This window comes from Homo sapiens, chromosome 11 (assembly GCF_000001405.40).
Source record: "Homo sapiens chromosome 11, GRCh38.p14 Primary Assembly".
In the NCBI taxonomy this organism is placed as follows: Eukaryota; Metazoa; Chordata; class Mammalia; order Primates; family Hominidae; genus Homo; species Homo sapiens.
In genome coordinates, this window is record NC_000011.10 from 87,189,216 (window position 1) to 87,206,969 (window position 17,754).

The 17,754-nt window shown below is 35.1% G+C and overlaps 1 protein-coding gene across 5 annotated transcripts in view, besides 1 other annotated feature; it reads left to right on the forward strand.

Annotated features, from left to right (window-relative positions):
- TMEM135 (transmembrane protein 135) overlaps positions 1-17,754 on the forward strand; it is a 290,891-nt gene that overhangs the window by 151,282 nt on the left and 121,855 nt on the right. The gene's annotated exons all lie outside the window — the stretch shown is intronic.
- Positions 7,419-7,619: a silencer, noted in NCBI's record as "peak1382 fragment used in MPRA reporter construct". NCBI's record gives its function as "represses an SCP1 promoter by STARR-seq MPRAs in K562 erythroleukemia cells {active_cell/tissue: K562}" and the evidence as "EXISTENCE:reporter gene assay evidence [ECO:0000049][PMID:32103011]".

The window sequence follows — 17,754 nt, forward strand, 5'->3', positions numbered from 1 at the left end:
AGTGGTGTGATCTCGGCTCACTGCAACCTCTGCTTCCCGGGTTCAAGCAATTCTCCTGCCTCAGCCTCCCAAGTAGCTGGGATCACAGGCATGTGCCACCATGCCTGGCTAATTTTTATATTTTTAGTAGAGACGGGGTTTTACCATGTTGGCCAGGCTGGTCTCAAACTCCTGACCCAAGGTGATCCACCTGCCTCAGGCTCCCAGATTGTTGGGATTACAAGCGTGAGCCACCGTGCCCAGCCTGTCAGACATTTCTTAATTGATAGAAGCAGTTAAATTTGTACGGTGATGAGGATGGCAGACAGAATATCTTCTCATGGGTGGCATCCCACTGATTACACATTTGTTTGACAAAAATATTTATAGAACTGTGAAGTATACATTCTGAAACTACTATTAAATAGATTTAAAAAAATTAGGGTAAGTACAGTGCCTCACACCTGTAATCCTAGCACTTTGGGAGACCAAAGAGGGAGGATGCTTGAGCCCAAGAGTTTGAGACTAGCCTGGGCTCAACATAGTGAGATCCCGTCTCCACAGAAAAAAAAAAAAAAAAATTGACCGGGCATGTGCCTGTAGTCCCAGCTACTTGGGAGGCTGAGGTGGGAGGATCATTTGAGCCTGGGAAGTTTAGGTTTCAGTGAGCCTTGATCATGCTTTGCATTCCAACCTGGGTGACAGAGCAAGATCCTGTCTCATAATGAATGAATGAATGAATGAATAAATAAATAAATAAAATACATAAAATAAAAAATCATTTGGAAAGGCCAAAGACAGAACAGTAGATACAAAATCAGCACTTTTCTTTTTAAATCAGTCATGTAGAAAAAGGAACTGCTTTATGATACTTTTGAATCTGATTTCTAAGAGAACTCTTACAAAAATCTCATATACTTTATTTAATAATCTTGTGAAATAGGTTCTACTTGTCAAATTCTTTCTTGCTTCTTTATAGATTTTCCTCCAGACTTCAAAGCTCTTACTACTCCCTGATAAACATAATCAGCATCTCTGTGAAGTACTGTCACTGACTACTTCCACTTTATTTTTGGTTGCTGTCTGTGAGGATTATTGTAGATAATGCCATGGAAAACAGAAAACCATCTGGTTAAAAGAGAAGTAGTGGTAATGATGGTGTTCGGTGAGAGAGAGGGAGAGAGAAGGAGAGAGAATTTTAAACAAGAATCAAGCAAACTTTTTCTTAGTTTTTTTCTTTTTCAATGGTGTTTTAATAATTGGAAAATTTGAAACTTCTAAAATACTTAGAAGTCTTGAAATTTCTAAGATATTTTTAAAAAGGTAACTCTCTGTAGGTATTTGTTGGCAATCACTGTGAGACAAAGTTGCCTTAAAAAAAAAACTTTAAAGTGCTAGGTAAACTATTTGTCATTAATGTTAAGGAAGCTAGCATTAATATGAAGGAGATTCCTGAAGGCTACCAGTATCACAGAATCAGAGCAGAAGGTCCTTGGAGAGTGACCTGAAAGAGAAAGACAGCAGCAGATATTTGATGTCTTCCTGACTTTCTATTGTGGTCTAGGTTGTGTAACCAATGAGTTTATTATTTTTGCAATAGATATTTCTCGATCTTACTATTTTTTTGTCTTCATGTATACTTAAATTGTATATTCACAGACAATATACTATTTTAAAATTTTCTTTGCTGGTTACCAGTTTTTGGATAATATGTATTTGCATATCAACATAACCACTACTTTTATTTTACTTGGTTCATTAACTACAGTTGTTTTATTCTTCATTATTCCATACTATAGTTTACTAATTTGCAACATAGGTTCTTATGAATCTTCCAAAATCGCTCATTCACATAGCCGTTGACACAAAACTCTAATTCCTTGCCGGCTGGTTGCAAGGAGGCCTTAGTTCCTCACCAGCTTGACCTCTCCATAAGTTTGCTTCGTCCTTATGTCCTCTAGAGTGAGTGTCCTAAGATAGGGCAAGGAGGAAGCCACAATGTCTATTATCTCCTGATATCAGAAGTCACACACCCTTACTTTGGCAGTATTTTTTTTTTTTTCTGAGACAGAGTCCCGCTCTTTCACCCAGGCTGGAGTGCAGTGGCACGATCTCGGCTCACTGCAAGCTCCGCCTCCTGGGTTCACACCATTCTCCTGCCTCAGCCTCCTGAGAAGCTGGGACTACAGGTGCCCGCCACCACGCCCGGCTAATATTTTTGTATTTTTAGTAGAGACAGAGTTTCACAGTGTTAGCCAGGATGGTTTCGATCTCTTGACCTCGTGATCTGCCTGCCTCGGCCTCCCAAAGTGCTGGGATTACAAGTGTGAGCCACCATTCTATTCATTAGGAGCGATTCACTAAGTACAGTCAACACTTTGGGGCAGGGAAGAATTAGATTCTACTACCTTTGGAAGGAAGAAGTGAAGAATTTGTGGGATATATTTTAAAACCACGATGATCATCATATATGATTTCTAAGCATTTCCTGTTAGAGTCTATTATTCGGAATTGTTTGCAACAGTGTTGACAATTGATATGTGTTGTGTAGTTTCTTTTTGACTGCCTTGTTTTTAGGTTTGGGGATCAGTGTTATATACTCACTTTAAAGACATAACTTAGAAGTTTTCCTTATTATCTATGTTTTTGGAATAATTTTAAAGTAGCATTGGGAGTTTATACTTTTAAAAAGTATGCTAGCATTCTCCTGAGAAGTCATCTGGACGTGGGGCATTTTTTTGAGAGCTCTATTACTGGTTTTTCTATTTCTTTTGTTTCTTTTCTTTTCTTTTCTTTTTTTTTTTTTTTTTTCGAGATGGAGTCTTGCTCCAGGCTGGAGTGCAGTGGCGCGATCTGGGCTTACTGCAACCTCCACCTCCTGGGATCAAGCGATCCCCCTGCCTCAGCCTCCCGAGTAGCTGGGACTACAGGCATGTGCCACCGTGCCCAGCTAATTTTTTTTTTTTTTTGTATTTTAGTAGAGACGGGGTTTTACCATGTTGGCCAGGATGGTGTCGATCTCCTAACTTCGTGATCCGCCCAACTTGGCCTCCCAAAGTGCTGGGATTACAGGCATGAGCCACTTCTATTTCTTTTATAATTGATTTATGTAGATGTCTGTCTTTCTTAAGGCCATTTCTGGTACCAATTTCAGTATTTTTTAGGTTAAATTTTAAAGACAAATTTATATTCAGAAGATTGTTTCTTTTTTTTGCTGTAAGTCAATAGGAATAAAATGAATTACGTATTTATGTATGTTATATAAAGGCAAACATCAGAAGTTTATCAGTTCTTTAAAGAGAAGTAAACTTGTTTTACCCATGTTTGTGTTTTAACTTGTTTTTGAAGGCAATTAGGTAAATATGAGTGAATGTAAGAGTTTTCAAAAAACCGCCTATGTTCTTTTGAAATGTGTGTGCTACTTGAAGATATCAGCTATTATTTTATTTATAAATAAGAGAAATAAGCTTTATTCCATGTAATTTGATAAAACAATTTGAATTTTTGTTTCTAGATCTATTACTGTTTATAAAGGCTGGTACAAATTCATTTTTAATAAAACCAGTTTACATATTTATAAGAATGTGATTGTATGTGTGGGTGAGCCGTGTATACTGCTTTTAATAAATATTTTGGTTTGCCGGGCATGGTGGCTCACGCCTGTAATTCCAGCACTTTCAGTGGCAAAGGTGGGCAGATCACTTGAGATCAGGAGTTCAAGGCCAGCCTGGCCAACATGGGAAAACCCCGTCTCTACTAAAAATATAAAAAATACCCAGGCCTGGTGGCACCCACCTGTAGTCCAAGCTACTTGGGAGGCTGAGGCAGGAGAATCACTTGAACCTGGGAGGCAAAGGTTGCAGTGAGCTGAGATTGCACCACTGCACTCCAGCCTGGGTGACTCCATCTCAAAAAAAAAAATTGTCATTTTTTGTGTATTCATTTCTTTTTTCATCATATATAATAGGCCATCATTAAGTTAAGACTGAGTGATACACAGCAGTGGAGTGGAGACAACAAGGTACCTGCTCTTGAGGAGCTTGTGTCTAGCAGATTCTAAGTGGGGGTGTAGTGGTGGTGAGATCTGATTCAAGAAATATTTAGGAGATACTTGAAAATTATAAGACAAATTTATCAAATCACTTAATCTAGAGTTTTCATATAGATTAAGATACAGATTGTTATTTAGTTTAGCCTCTGCTAATTTTTATCCATTTTCCTTGTAATCTGCAAAATTTTCAGGTTCTTCTGTTTTATTTTCCCATTTATTTTTCCCAAGAGCTAAATATTGATGAGACTCCAGATATGAAATTACTTTAATTTGGTAGTGAGAATTGAAAATCACTGTTTTTGGTGGGGGGATAACTGTTAATTTCTTCTAAGTACCCAGGGAATAATTGTTAAGCTTTTGATTTTGTGGCTTATGTAATTAAGAATATCTGACTTCTCTTTTCAATGTGTAATCAGAAATAAAGAATTAAGAACTCAGTTAGGTTTTTTAAATTTTTTCTTTAGTTGGTTCAGATTTAAGTCTTGAATTGTTCACTTAAAGACCATATATATTCTTATATATTATATTATATATTATATAAACATATATATTTGTATGTATATATGAAGTCATACATTATACTTGTTTTGAATTTTTTAATAGGCCTATGATCATGCTAGGATACAGTAGATACACAATACATTTATTTAATTTGTGTGCATTGAAGTATTGCTGTGGACTGTGATAAAGAATTTTTGTGGTAAGCCATAGGCTTGTTATCTTTGCTTTTTTCACTTACTAGCAGAGAAGATTAATGTAGTAATGTTCATGACATTCATGTTTATTCTTTAAAATCTTCATAAAATGTTTTGAATCAGTTAAACACATTTAAAAGAGTTTGTTCCTGTGTGAATTTTAAGCCTTTTAATGGATTTTACTTCCATTTCATTTAATGAAAAAGAAACTGTGGCTCCACACAAAAGACAACATATTTTCTGCACAAGTTAAAAAAAAATTGGTAAATGTAGATCTTTGTTGACTGAAGTGCTGGGAAAGCTGCTGTTTCTTGCACGTATTCTTAAAATCAACAAAATACCTCCACAAGACAACTGGCAGCTGTGGTTGAACTTAAAAAGCACTCTTACTTATGCTAAAGTTTGCAGTATTTTAGTCCAGCTAACTGTATACTATTCTGCAAATGAAAAAATCTCAAATCGTTTAGTGGGCAAAGACTTTTGAAATTCTCTTGTACTATCCTGTGTCAGATCTTTACTACTATTTACTTGTACAGTATAGTTTATTCTACATTTTATAGTTCCACCTTCTTAAAGAATAATAATACCTGTGTATGTGTGTGTGTGTTGTGTATTTGTATGTATGTGTATATACAGTGGAAAACTTGGTTATCATAAAATATACAAATTAAAGCACCCATAAAAACTCTGGTTAAAATTTTTGCCTTCTTGTTCCTAATTTATTATATTGAACAAGATTCCTGTTGCTCTTCATATTCTCTGTTCATCTTCCATAATTCTCTTTGAAGTCAGTAGTTGCTGTAAGTATGGAAATAGAGAAGGGAAAACCTAACTAAATCCAGTGTACTTAGAGCTCTCGTGAAAGTCAATGTTGTGGCATTTTTTTAAAGGAAATTATAGGTATCTTGCTAATTTCTTGATACTGTGTCATGAGGTTATCTTTTACATAAACTCATAAATGGATGAATTATATTTTCTTACTAAAATGATGCATATATGTTACTTAATGAATGCTTGTTTCTAACTTTTTAAATTTTAAAACCATATCAGCATTATACATTTTACTTTTTAGAAACAAAGCATGCCTTTTATTTAAAGTGTGAAACATACATTAAAAATTTAGTCTTCTTTATGTGTTATCTGAAGGAAGCTTATTAAAATCTGAATTATGTTTGTTTTACCAAGAAACATGAGTATTCTTTGCAAGACATCGAATGCAAATCCAACCATCCAAATTTAGGTAATTTATTTACTGTCAAATGTCTTTCTTTCCTTCTCCCCTGTCTTCTTTTTCTTTTTTTAAAATATGATTCTGACAAGAATGATGAATTTTAATTTGTATAATTGAAAAAGTCATTTTCTCTTTCTTTCTCTTTCCTTCCTTCCTTCCTTCCTTCCTTCCTTCCTTCCTTCCTTCCTTCCTTCCTTCCTTCCTTCCTTCCTTCCTTCCTTCTCTCTCTCTCTCTCTCTGTTTCTCTCTTTCTTTCTTTCTCTCTTGTTTTTGAGACGGAGTTTTACTCTTGTTGTCCAGGCTGGAGTGCAATGGCATGATCTCAGCTCGCCGCAATCTCCACCTCCCGGGTTCAAGCGGTTCTCCTGCCTCAGCCAGTCGAGTAGCTGGGATTACAGCTGGCTAATTTTGTATTTTTAGTAAAGACGGGGTTTCTCCATGTTGGTCAGGCTGTTCTCGAACTCCCAACCTCAGGCAATCTGCCAGCCTCCGCCTCCCAAAGCGTTGGGATTACAGGCATGAGCCACTGTGCCCAGACGAAAAAGTCATTTTCTTACTTCACACGAGTAAAAATTGTTTTTGCATGCCTGTTATTTTCATCCTACAGTTGCTTAGGGTGTGCCTGTCAATGTTGATGTTCGATGTTATTAATAATGAGTAAAATTTGAAGACATTTAAAGAAAAGCATTTGGGTAATAGTTTATGGTGGTTTTTTAAAAACAGTATGTAGTATCTGTTCGAGACTATTTTATGGCAGTTATAAACTTGTATGGAATGATACCATTAACTTAGTTTGACACAGATGCTGAGGAAATACTATTAAAAAGTGATCAAGTTCCAAAATTTTACATAGTATCTGTGCGAGACTATTTTATGGCAGTTATAAACTTGTATGGAATGATACCATTTTGTTTGCTGGAATTATTACCCAAGAAAACAAACCAGTTTTTAAAATGTTCCTTTATAATTTGAGTGAGAGAGTAAAATTATGTTGGAACAATATTTGTGACAGATTTTGGGGGAAATATTTTAGGATTTTGTGCTAAAAAGTGAATTGTAACACTCATCATCCTTTGCAATGGTGAAATGTCTGCAAATTCTGAACTTAAATATTTGATTAAATATTGCAGGTATATTCATATTTTAATTTGATATGCTTAAAATAAAAATGAAGATTATTAAGGTTACAGTATCATTTAACACATTTTAAAAAAAATTTCTAAGAAATTAACTTAGTTTGGCACAGATGCTGAGGAAATACTATTAAAAAGTGATCAAGTTCCAAAAATTTACATGTTTATTTTAGGATATGCAAATCTTTTGGTCCTAAAAATTGTTGTCATTTTTCTACATCAGGCTTAGATGCCTGGCAGTAGACTGTTTTCTTTTTCTCTTGTTTATAGTGGGGAATATTATTTTTAGGGAATTTGATGGGGGGAACCTGAAATTGAGGCTTAGTTTTACAGGAAGATCTTTTTGGAGTTGTCAGGAAGTAGACTTCAAATATACTTATGTACATTCTAGCCACTTATTCAGAATTTCCTGACTTTCTGATAAGATAGAGACCAGAGCCAGTGAAATTTTCAATGAAAACATGAACTTTCAGACTTTAACGCATAATCTTCCAAGTGGGATAATCCACTGTGTATGTTTAGTGGCTTGTAAAAGTATTTAGAATTTTTTAAAAAGTTACTATCCAAAATTGAATTTAAATTACTTTAAGAATGGATACGTATTTTGGATCTCTTAACCTTTGCTGATGTTAAATATTGGTGTTTATAAACTAGCAATTTAGAGCATTGGTGAGATACTGATGAAACATAGTTACATTTCTCCTAATGAAAAAAAATTAGCAAAACTTATAGTACCAAAATAAAGGAAATTCAGATGTAGGCTATTTTTGTCTTTAGACAAACAGCATTAAAATTTTTACTTTTTTTCTTTAGAAAAAAATACAAGATGTCTGTACTAGGTTTCCAATTCAGAGTATAACAAATATTTTCTAAGGCTAAGATGCTCCTTTCTGTAAATTTCCATGGCATTTTGTACATAATTCTATTATGTTTAGAAGTTTCCTGATATAAACAGAAGGTGCAATAGCTGGACGAGTACATATTCTTTTAATTTAATGCAAGAAATTCTAATTCGGCATAAAGGGTAAAACGTATCAGACTCTCATACAGAGTTATGAAGTAGTATAAATGGAAAAACACTAAATTCCTTTGTGTTGTCCCATAAAACAGGAAGCATCTTAAGCTATTGGATGCCTAAATATTTGTATATCAGAATCTAGAAAGGAGATGGTAACCTGTAATTTGACATTAGATACAGAATTGTGTCTGAAGTTACTAAGTGCAATTTGCTAAATTTCTTCTATTGATAGATTTCTTTATGATGGGACTTTCCAATTCTGTTAAAATTGGTAGTTTTTTTATTATTGTCATGGTTTACTTATGGCCAGTGTGGTTTTATGTGTAGCTTAGCAAAAAAAAAATGTCACTTGAGGCTATGCGTTGGCATGAGTCTAAGTTTAAATCCTAATTTCATATTTAATTATTTGATGTATGTTTTGCAAATTCACTTATTAGGGATATCATATAAATGCAATGCTACTTAGAATGAAAAAGTTACTAAAAAGTTTTTTTTATTTGTATGTTATCAGAGAAGAAAATGTATATTTTATTTATTGGGAAAACAGTTAAATTAATTCCATCTCAAAATCCATTTAGAAAATATTTATCTATTTTTATTTTTAGTTTTTGGATACTTTTTTATTTTTATTTTTTTAGGTACATAATAGTTGTAAATCTTTATGGGCTACATGTGAGTATTTCTTACACGTAATGATCAAGTCAGAATATTTGGGGTATCCATCACCTTGAGTGTTTATCATTTTTATGTGTTGGTGTCATTTCAAGCCCTCTCTTCTTGTTATTTTTAAATATACATAATACTGTTGCTAAATATAGTCACACTAGTCTGTTATCAAACATCCTCCCAACCATCCTCCTCAGTTCTATTCTTTATGTACATGAGATTAAAGTTTTTTAGTTCCCATATTTGAGTAAGAATGTATGTCAAAATCCGTTTTACAATTTATTTTACTACACATTTGTATTAGGATACCTCTTTCAGATCTGTTGTTTTTGGATGGAGGGTTTTGGTATTCCAAGAGCAGGATCCTTGGAAACCCTTCAAAACCCTTAGAGTATTCTAGGGAAAAACAAAACAGAACAAAACAAAGTCAGCAACAAAAAAGTTAATAAGGGTACTTCCTGAGCTGAAAATGTCTGTTGTCTGAGGTTGTTTTTTGTTAGTTGGTTTTTCCTTCCCTCTCCTCCCCGCTCTGTTTCTCCCCCACTCCTCCCTTCCCTCCTCCCTCCCCTCTCCCCTCCCCTCTCCGCTCCCCTCTCTCTCATTCTCCTTGCTTCCTCTTCCTTTCCATCTCCTCTTTCTCTCCTCTCCCTCTCTTCTCTTTTCCCTGTTTCCTCCTTCCCTCTCTTACTTCCTCCAATTTCTTCCCTCCCTCTCTTTTCTTTTTTTTTTGCAATGGATGAGCAAGTGATGATTCAACATGTACCATGTAAAGGCACTATACCAGGTGTTAGAGACAAGTATAAATAATAGAAACAACAGTTTAAAAAGATGCTTAGAAATGAAGAACGTTTGACTGAGTTCCTAGTTTTATAAATTCAGCAAACAAATATTGTCTTCTATGTCTTTTTTTATTTTGCTAGGCACTAGGGATTTTCCTGCTCTCAAGAGGCTTATATTTTAAATCTATGCAGTGCTATAATAGAATTATGTACAAAATGCCATGGAAATTTACAGAAAGGAGCATCTTAGCTTTAGAAAATATTTGTTATACTCTGAATTGGAAACCTAGTACAGACACCTTGTATTATGAGTAGTTATCGCTGTGGCTCACATCTGTAATCTCAGCACTTCGGGAGGCCGAGGCAGACAGATCATGAGGTCAGGAGTTCCAGACCAGCCTGGCCAACATGGTGAAACCCTGTCGCTACTAAAAATACAAAAATTAGCTGGGCATGGTGGAACTCCTGACCTCCTTGTGCAATGCTTTTACAAGTGGTTAATGTTTCTGAAGAGGGTAGGTTAGAGGGAGTGTTAAGAGGATGGAAACCTCCTTGTATTGACCTCTCCAAGACGGTGCGTTCATGTCAAAAACTAATCAAGTGCAGCTGCAAGATTAATTGTGTGAGGAAGCTGTAAACATAGAAAACTATGGCCTCTACCCAGAGCTCTGTTTTATAGACAAGCATTCACTTTAGAACTACTGTCAATGAACCTGACTGAGCAATAATTTGCTCACTTGAGCCTACAGTGGTAGTATTTAAAAATTACTGAGCTTGTAGGGGATGAGGTAGATACATATAGATTTCTAGTTGAGGCATTTGAGGAAACTAGAGTAGGTCTGAGTAAAGGAGAAGATGGAATAAAATAACTTGGGTTTGTGGCTAGGAGCGGTGGCTCATGCCTGTAATCCCAGCACTTTGGGAGGCCGAGGCAGGCGTATCACCTGAGGTCAGGAGTTCGAGACCAGCCTGGCCAACAAGGTGAAACTGCATCTCTACTAAAAATACAAAAATTAGCCAGGCGTGGTGGCACGCGCCTGTAATCCCAGCTACTAGGGAGGCTGAGGCAGGAGAATTGCTTGACCCTGGGAGACAGAGGTGGCAGTGAATCGAGATCATGCCACTGCACTCCAGCCTGAGCGACAGAGCAAGACTCCATCTCATAAATAAATAAATACATAACTTGGGTTTGTAAAGCCATTAGAGAAATTTGCCATTATTAACCTCTGAATCTTTTAGCACTGTAAACTAAATGGAATTTCAATTTAATCTTCAATATGGTTTGCTTCTTTCTGTAAGTTTCATTAATAATTGTTAAAAAGCTCTCATTGAAATTATAATTATTAGTAATTTTCACTCAATAATTATAGTCTTAGATAAGTAAAATAATAATTTAAAATTATGGGATGATAGTTAACTTTTAATTTTAATAGGAAATAGCTTACTCACCTAAATAGTTGTAATTAACATGAACCTTCACAGGTTTTAGACTCTTCTAAATACACCCAAAAATATAATAAGAAAATAACCTAACTGTATAATTGAATTATCTTGTTATGATTTTGGTAATCTTGGAATTCAAGATGGTCAAAGTTATAAAATGATTTCTCTGTAAAGTATATAGGTAATTTTGTGATTTCCTTTAATTTTTCTTCTTCATTACAGACCTTATTTTTAGAGAAGTTTTAGGTACACAGCAAAATTAGGTGGAAAATAGAGAAACTTCCCATGTAGAGTTCCAAATACAGAAAGGGTACTGTTCTCCCCAGTGTGCACAGACTCCTCCATGATCAACATCCACTCCAGAATGATATACTTTGGTACAATCAAAGACCTTACATTGACACATCATTATCATTCAATGTTCATAGTTTACATTAGGATTCACTCTTGGTATTGTATCTTCTGTGAGCTTCAACAAATGTATAATGACATGTATCTACCATTATAGCATCATACAGAATAGTTTCACTGCTGCAAAAATCCCATGTCCTGTTATCCATTGAGCCTTCCCTCTGCCCAAACCCCTGAAAACCATTGATCTTTTCACTGTCTTCATATTTTTGCCTTTTCCAAAGTAAGTTATAGATGTAAATGTATGGTATGTAGACTTTTCAGGGTGGCTTCTTTCACTTTAATATGTATTTAAGACATTTAAATATTTAATAATAGGCATTCTTCCATGTCTTATCTTAGTTGGATTGCTCATTTCTTTTTGGTGCTGAATATTAATCCATGGTATTCTTTTAACTTTTAGGAAGTGAAGAAAGCTTATATATGTTAGCACTCTTTTTTATTTTTTAATCTCAATTTCCATTTCTGCTAAGTACAGTTATTCCTGTTTGTACGTGAGGAAGATGAGGTACAGAGAAGTTATATAACTTTCCCAAGATCATATTGGTAGGAATTATAAATTCAGGATTTGAAACTGGAAGATCTTGCTCCTGATACATCATCCTGTCTTGGAGAAGGAATATGTAAAACATACATAAAATCTTATGTATTGTAATTTTAAGTACAACTTAATTTTCATTAGAAATACTGTCTTTTTACATCCTTCATGTTCCATTTTTTCTGTATGGAAAATAAATAAGTGGGTTTTGGAAAATTCAAATATAATGAGTTTGTATAGTATATATTCCTGTTTCACTAAAGTTTTAACTAAGGTCTCGTAGATGCAGTTTAAATTTCACTAACTTTAAGTTTTCATTCAATACAAAGTAACCTTGGCTTTCATCCTTCAGTAATCTTGTGATTATACAGCTCTCTTGAGGCAGTCAGTGAATAAAGTATGGTAATTTTTAAGGCCATTTTTAAGACGCCTGCTGGTTGGAGGAGTTAATTTTATCATATGATGGCAGTTAATGTTAGCTGTACATTATAAAAGCCCCTGCTTTGTGAAATGTGAGGAGTGAATTTGGTGTTTAACATGCCTTTTTTCTACTTCATATTCTTAGAAAACTGACATGAAAAATTACATCTATAATAAGTAGAATGAAAAATCTCACTTAGTTTGCTAACATATATTAATACTTACTCTGCACTAAGCCATCCAGGAACTTTGTTTTAATGTCCAGTAAAGATGTATTTCATAGATATCATTTTATAATGAAATCTGTCTTATGATAAAGATTTAAACACACACACATACACATATATGCATTCACTTTTGGTATTTATTTTTTATGTTATGTTATGTTATGTTATGTTATGTTATGTTATGTTATGTTATGTTATGTTATGTAATGTTATGTTATGTTTTACGTTATGTTATGTTATATGAAGTCTGGCTGCGTTGCCCAAACTGGAGTGCAATGGCGTGGTCTCAGCTCATTGCAACCTCCACCTCCCTGATTCAAGTGATTCTCCTGCCTCAGCCCCCCAAGTATCTGGGACTACAGGAGTGCACCACCACTCCTGGCTAATTTTTGTATTTTTAGTAGAGATGAGGTTTTGCCATGTTGGCCAGGCTGGTCTCAAACTCCTGACCTCAAGTGATCCACCCACCTCGACCTCCCAAAGTTTTGGGATTACAGGCGTAAGCCGCCATGCCCAGACTGTTTTATTTTATTTTTTGAGACAAGGTCTGGCTCCATCACCCAGGCTGGAGTGCAGTGGTGCAATCTCGGCTTACTGCAACCTCTGCCTCCTGGGCTCAAGTTATCCTCCCACCTCAGCCTCCTGAACAGCTGGGACTACACACATGCCCTACCGTGTCCGGTTAATGTATGTGTTTTTTGTAGAGATGGGATTTTGCCAGCTTGCCCAGGCTGGTCTTTAACTCATAGTTTGCATTTTTATTAACCTGTGCAACTGTTGAGAGACAAATGGCAAATCATATGTGTGTATGTAAAATATATTTTTATATTATGTAGGTGTGTATGTTTAACACTGCATGTAAATAACGATTGACATTTGTTGTCAAGCACTGTGTCTCCCAAGTGAATTTTTTTAAAAGACTTTAAAAAAAAAAAAAAAAAGCAGACCGGGCACGGTGGCTCAAGCCTCTAATCCCAGCACTTTGGGAGGCCGAGGCGGGCGGATCATGAGGTCAGGAGATCTAGACCATCCTGGCTAACACGGTGAAACCCCGTCTCTACTAAAAATACAAAAAAATTAGCTGGGCGTGGTGGCTGGCGCCTGTAGTCCCAGCTACTCGGGAGGCTGAGGCAGGAGAATGGCGTGAACCCGGGAGGCGGAGCTTGCAGTGAGCCGAGATCATGCCACTGCACTCCAGCCTGGGCGACAGAGTGAGACTCCGTCTCAAAAAAAAAAAAAAAAAAAAAAAAAAGCAGTTTTAGTTTATGAGCAAAATTGAGAAGGTCCAGAGATTTCTCATATACCCAATGGCCCCACACACATTCATACCCTCCCCCATTATTAACATCCCGCACCAGACTGGACACTTGTTACAATTGATAAACCTATATTGACACATTATCATTACTCAAAGTACATAGTTTACATTAGGGTTCACTCTTAATGTTGTACATTCTATGGGTTTGGATGAATGTATAATGACATGTATCCATCATTATAGTATCATACAGAGTATTTTTGCTCCCTCAAAAATCCTCTGTGCTCCCTCTATTCATCCTTTAACCCCCTGAAACCCTTGACAATCAGTAATCTTACTGTCTCCCTAGTTTTACCTTTTCCAGAGTGTCATATAGTTGAAACCATACAATATGCAGCCTTTTCAGATGGGCTTCTTTTCACTTGGCAATAGGCATTTCAGCTTCCTCCATGTCTTTTCATGGCTTGTTTCTTTTTATGGCTCAATTTCTTTTTAGAACCAAATGATATTCCTTCTGGATGTACCAGTTTATTTACTCACCTACTGGAGAACATCTCGGTTGCTTCTAAGTTTTGACAATTAGGAATAGAGCTCTAATAAACATTTGTGTGCTGGTTTTTGTGTAGACATAAGTTTTCAGCTCCTTTGTATAAGTACCGAGGAGCACAATTGCTGGATTGTATGGTAAAAATATGTTTAATTTTGTAAGAAACCACCAAACTGTCTTCCAAAGTGGCTGTACCATTTAGTATTTCCATCAGCAATGAATGAGAGTTCCTGTTGTTTCACATCTTTAACAGTATTTGGTGCTGCCAGTGTTCTGAATTATGGCCGTTCTAATAAGTGTGTATTGGTATCTTATCGTTCGTTTTCCAAGTGAAATATTTTTGCCTTTATCATTTCTTTTCTTTTCTCCACTACTCAGTTTTTACTAGGTTCTTGTCAATCGTGCACAATAATTTTTAGAATTATCCTTTTTTTTTCAACTTGACTGCCCATACACCATTCTGTACCCTGTTCCTCTTTTGGCTCGTTTACTTTCAGTAATCTAGGAAGTCTTTTCTGTTGCATTTTCTCTGTCACTCATTGATTTTGTTTGTTTTTTTTATCTAAAATGGTTCTCTCTGAAAGTCCCCTATGAATCTATCATGGATTTATGTAGCCACTGTTTGTTGAGGGAATGAATGAAATGAATATTCGTACAATTTTTTTTTACCAAACTCAAGCTGCTTTGCCTAGTTTGCAAGGCCATCTGTAATTTGATTTTTTTCTTATCTATTCTGTTGTTCTTCCTACTTCTTCCCTAGAGAGTACCTTTTGTCCCATTCAAGCAGTTATGCAATACAGTTGACCTTTGAACAACACAAGGATTAGGAGTGTTGACCCCTTGCACAGTTAAAAATTTGAGAATAATTTTTGACTCCTCAATAATTTAACTACTAATAGCCTACTGTGGACCAGAAGCCTTACTGTAGCATAAACAGTCAATTAATGCATTTTGTGTCATATGTATTATATACTGTATTCTTATAATAAAGTAAGCTAGAGAAAAGAAAATGTTATTAAGAAACTCATAAGGAAGAGGAAATATGTTTACTGTTCTTTAAGTGGAAGTGGATCATCATAAGTGGAAGTGGATCATCATAAAGATCTTTTTTCTCATCATCTTTACACTGAGGAGGAGGCTGAGGAGGAGGAAGAGGAGGAGGTTGGTCCTGCTTTCTCAAGGGTGGCAGAGGTGGAAGAAAATCAACATACAAATGGATCTGCACAGTTCATACTCATGTTGTTCAAGGGTCAACTTATATTACTTGTTTTATGACTATTCTTTTCTTTAATTATTTCTTCTATCAAAAATTCCCTTTATATTCTTTTTCTAAATTCTACATTCTGCTTTACCTTCTCCATGAAACCCTCTCAGATAATACTTAATGTTCCCATTTTGTAAACTATTGCACTTTTAAAATTAGTGCTTTATTGTTTAATACTAATTATTCTCTAATTGAAATCATTTTTGCCATTTTACCTCTGGCAAAAGTCTGACTGTCATCTATGTTCTTTATCTGCTGCTGAAAGAAGTGTTTAGCTTCAGAAGAAGAAACGAGAAGTGACATAGATGGAAAATAATGGAGGTCTGAAGATGGCTCTAAATAAGACATGGGAGCATGATTGAAACATACGGTTGTTTTATGGAATATTCTGAGATTAGATTAGATAGGGATATGATTATTTGATAGAGTAGTAGCTGTGGATTTTTAGTAGGCAATAAGGAGCTACTGTAGATACTTGAGTAAGCATGATGTGGTGAAAACATTAGAAAGACATATCTCTCATTAGTTTATAATAGATTGGAAGAATTGAATACTAAGAAACCCGCTAGAAGTTGCTTGTAGTAATCCAGATATTGATGGATAATGTATATATTCTAGAGTCAAAACTCATAGTTGAGCAGGATCAGAGGATGGAATAGGGTAGAAGTTTTTCCATTTTTGTAGAGAGACATAATTATACCAGTTTATGTGAAACTTTGATACTCTTTGAAAGTTTGATGCAGCAAGCTGTGTTACAGCCAGCTTTTAAAAATTATTAATTAGTCATTTACATTTGTGATGTTAATGTTGTAGGTGCTAGAGGCATATGAATAAGACAGTGTCTCGTAATATTTTTTCAAACCTAAGACTGGGCTGAATATAATATTTTAAGTTAAGTTTCGTTCTTGATCTGTATCCTCTTGTTTTGAGTCTGTGCCACATTCTCTGCCTCTCACTGTTTCCCAACATGCTACTGGTCAGAGGATAAGGAATTGGGGACTTGGGAGAAATAGTGAGTACCTGAGTGTCTGTTAGTTCTCCCTCAGTTCACAGAGAACATCTTTTTGGCAGATATCCTTGATAGAATGAGTATGAGGACTCACTTTCTTACTAATTATAATAAATCTTTGTTTTTCTTATATCTGTAGGTCTCATCTGGTCTATCTGCGCTAGTGGTTGTGAACTACTGCTCTAGTCATTTTCAAATGTGATTCATTTGCAATATGTTTATTGAAACCCAACTTTGTAATAACATTTTATGAAGTTAAGAAATGATATGCATTAGTTTGAAAGGACCATACTCTGTTTTAGACTGTTGGCAAAACTTCAGAAACAGCATCTGAGACTAACTAATATGCAGTTTGTGAAATGCTGTGATTAATGTTCAATAATAGTAGTAATACATGTATATATGTAGTTGATAGAAATTGAAGATTGCTGTATTGTTATATTTCATATATAACATGTTATAATTAAAGATTGTTATATTTCATCTCAAATTATTCCAGGACTACAGGAAGGCAAATGATGGTACATGTAACTCATTCAGAAATTTTTGAATGTTGTTTTTTTCCTCCTATTACATGGTACAAATTACTTCCATAATTGTTCAGAGTTGAACATATATTGAAAAAAACAGTATAAAAATGAATCTCACAGTGAAGGCAAATTTTTATGAAGTATCCATGATATAACCTGTGGCAGTGTTGCTAAGAGGTTAATCAGAAACATCTGTAAACAACACAAACACTTAATGTTAGTTTAAGAATATTTATTATATACACATCATTGAGTTACCTAAAATAAAAAGTTTAGTCTACACAAGTTTAATATTTAAACGTATTTTGACAGGATACTAATAGCTTTTAAACTATTATAGTAGGAACTATTAATGTGGGCATTTTCAGTTTTACTTCATAGTCTTGTGCATACATTTGATAATTGCATTAGATGGTTATTTAAACTTGAAATTATCTCTGTGCCTAGAGGCTTTATTTTTAACATGTATTTTAAGTTTAGTATGTATGTTAGAACCTGTATTGGTCAGAATATCCTGCTCAAGAGTAAGATTAAAAAAAATTATCCCCAGCCTTC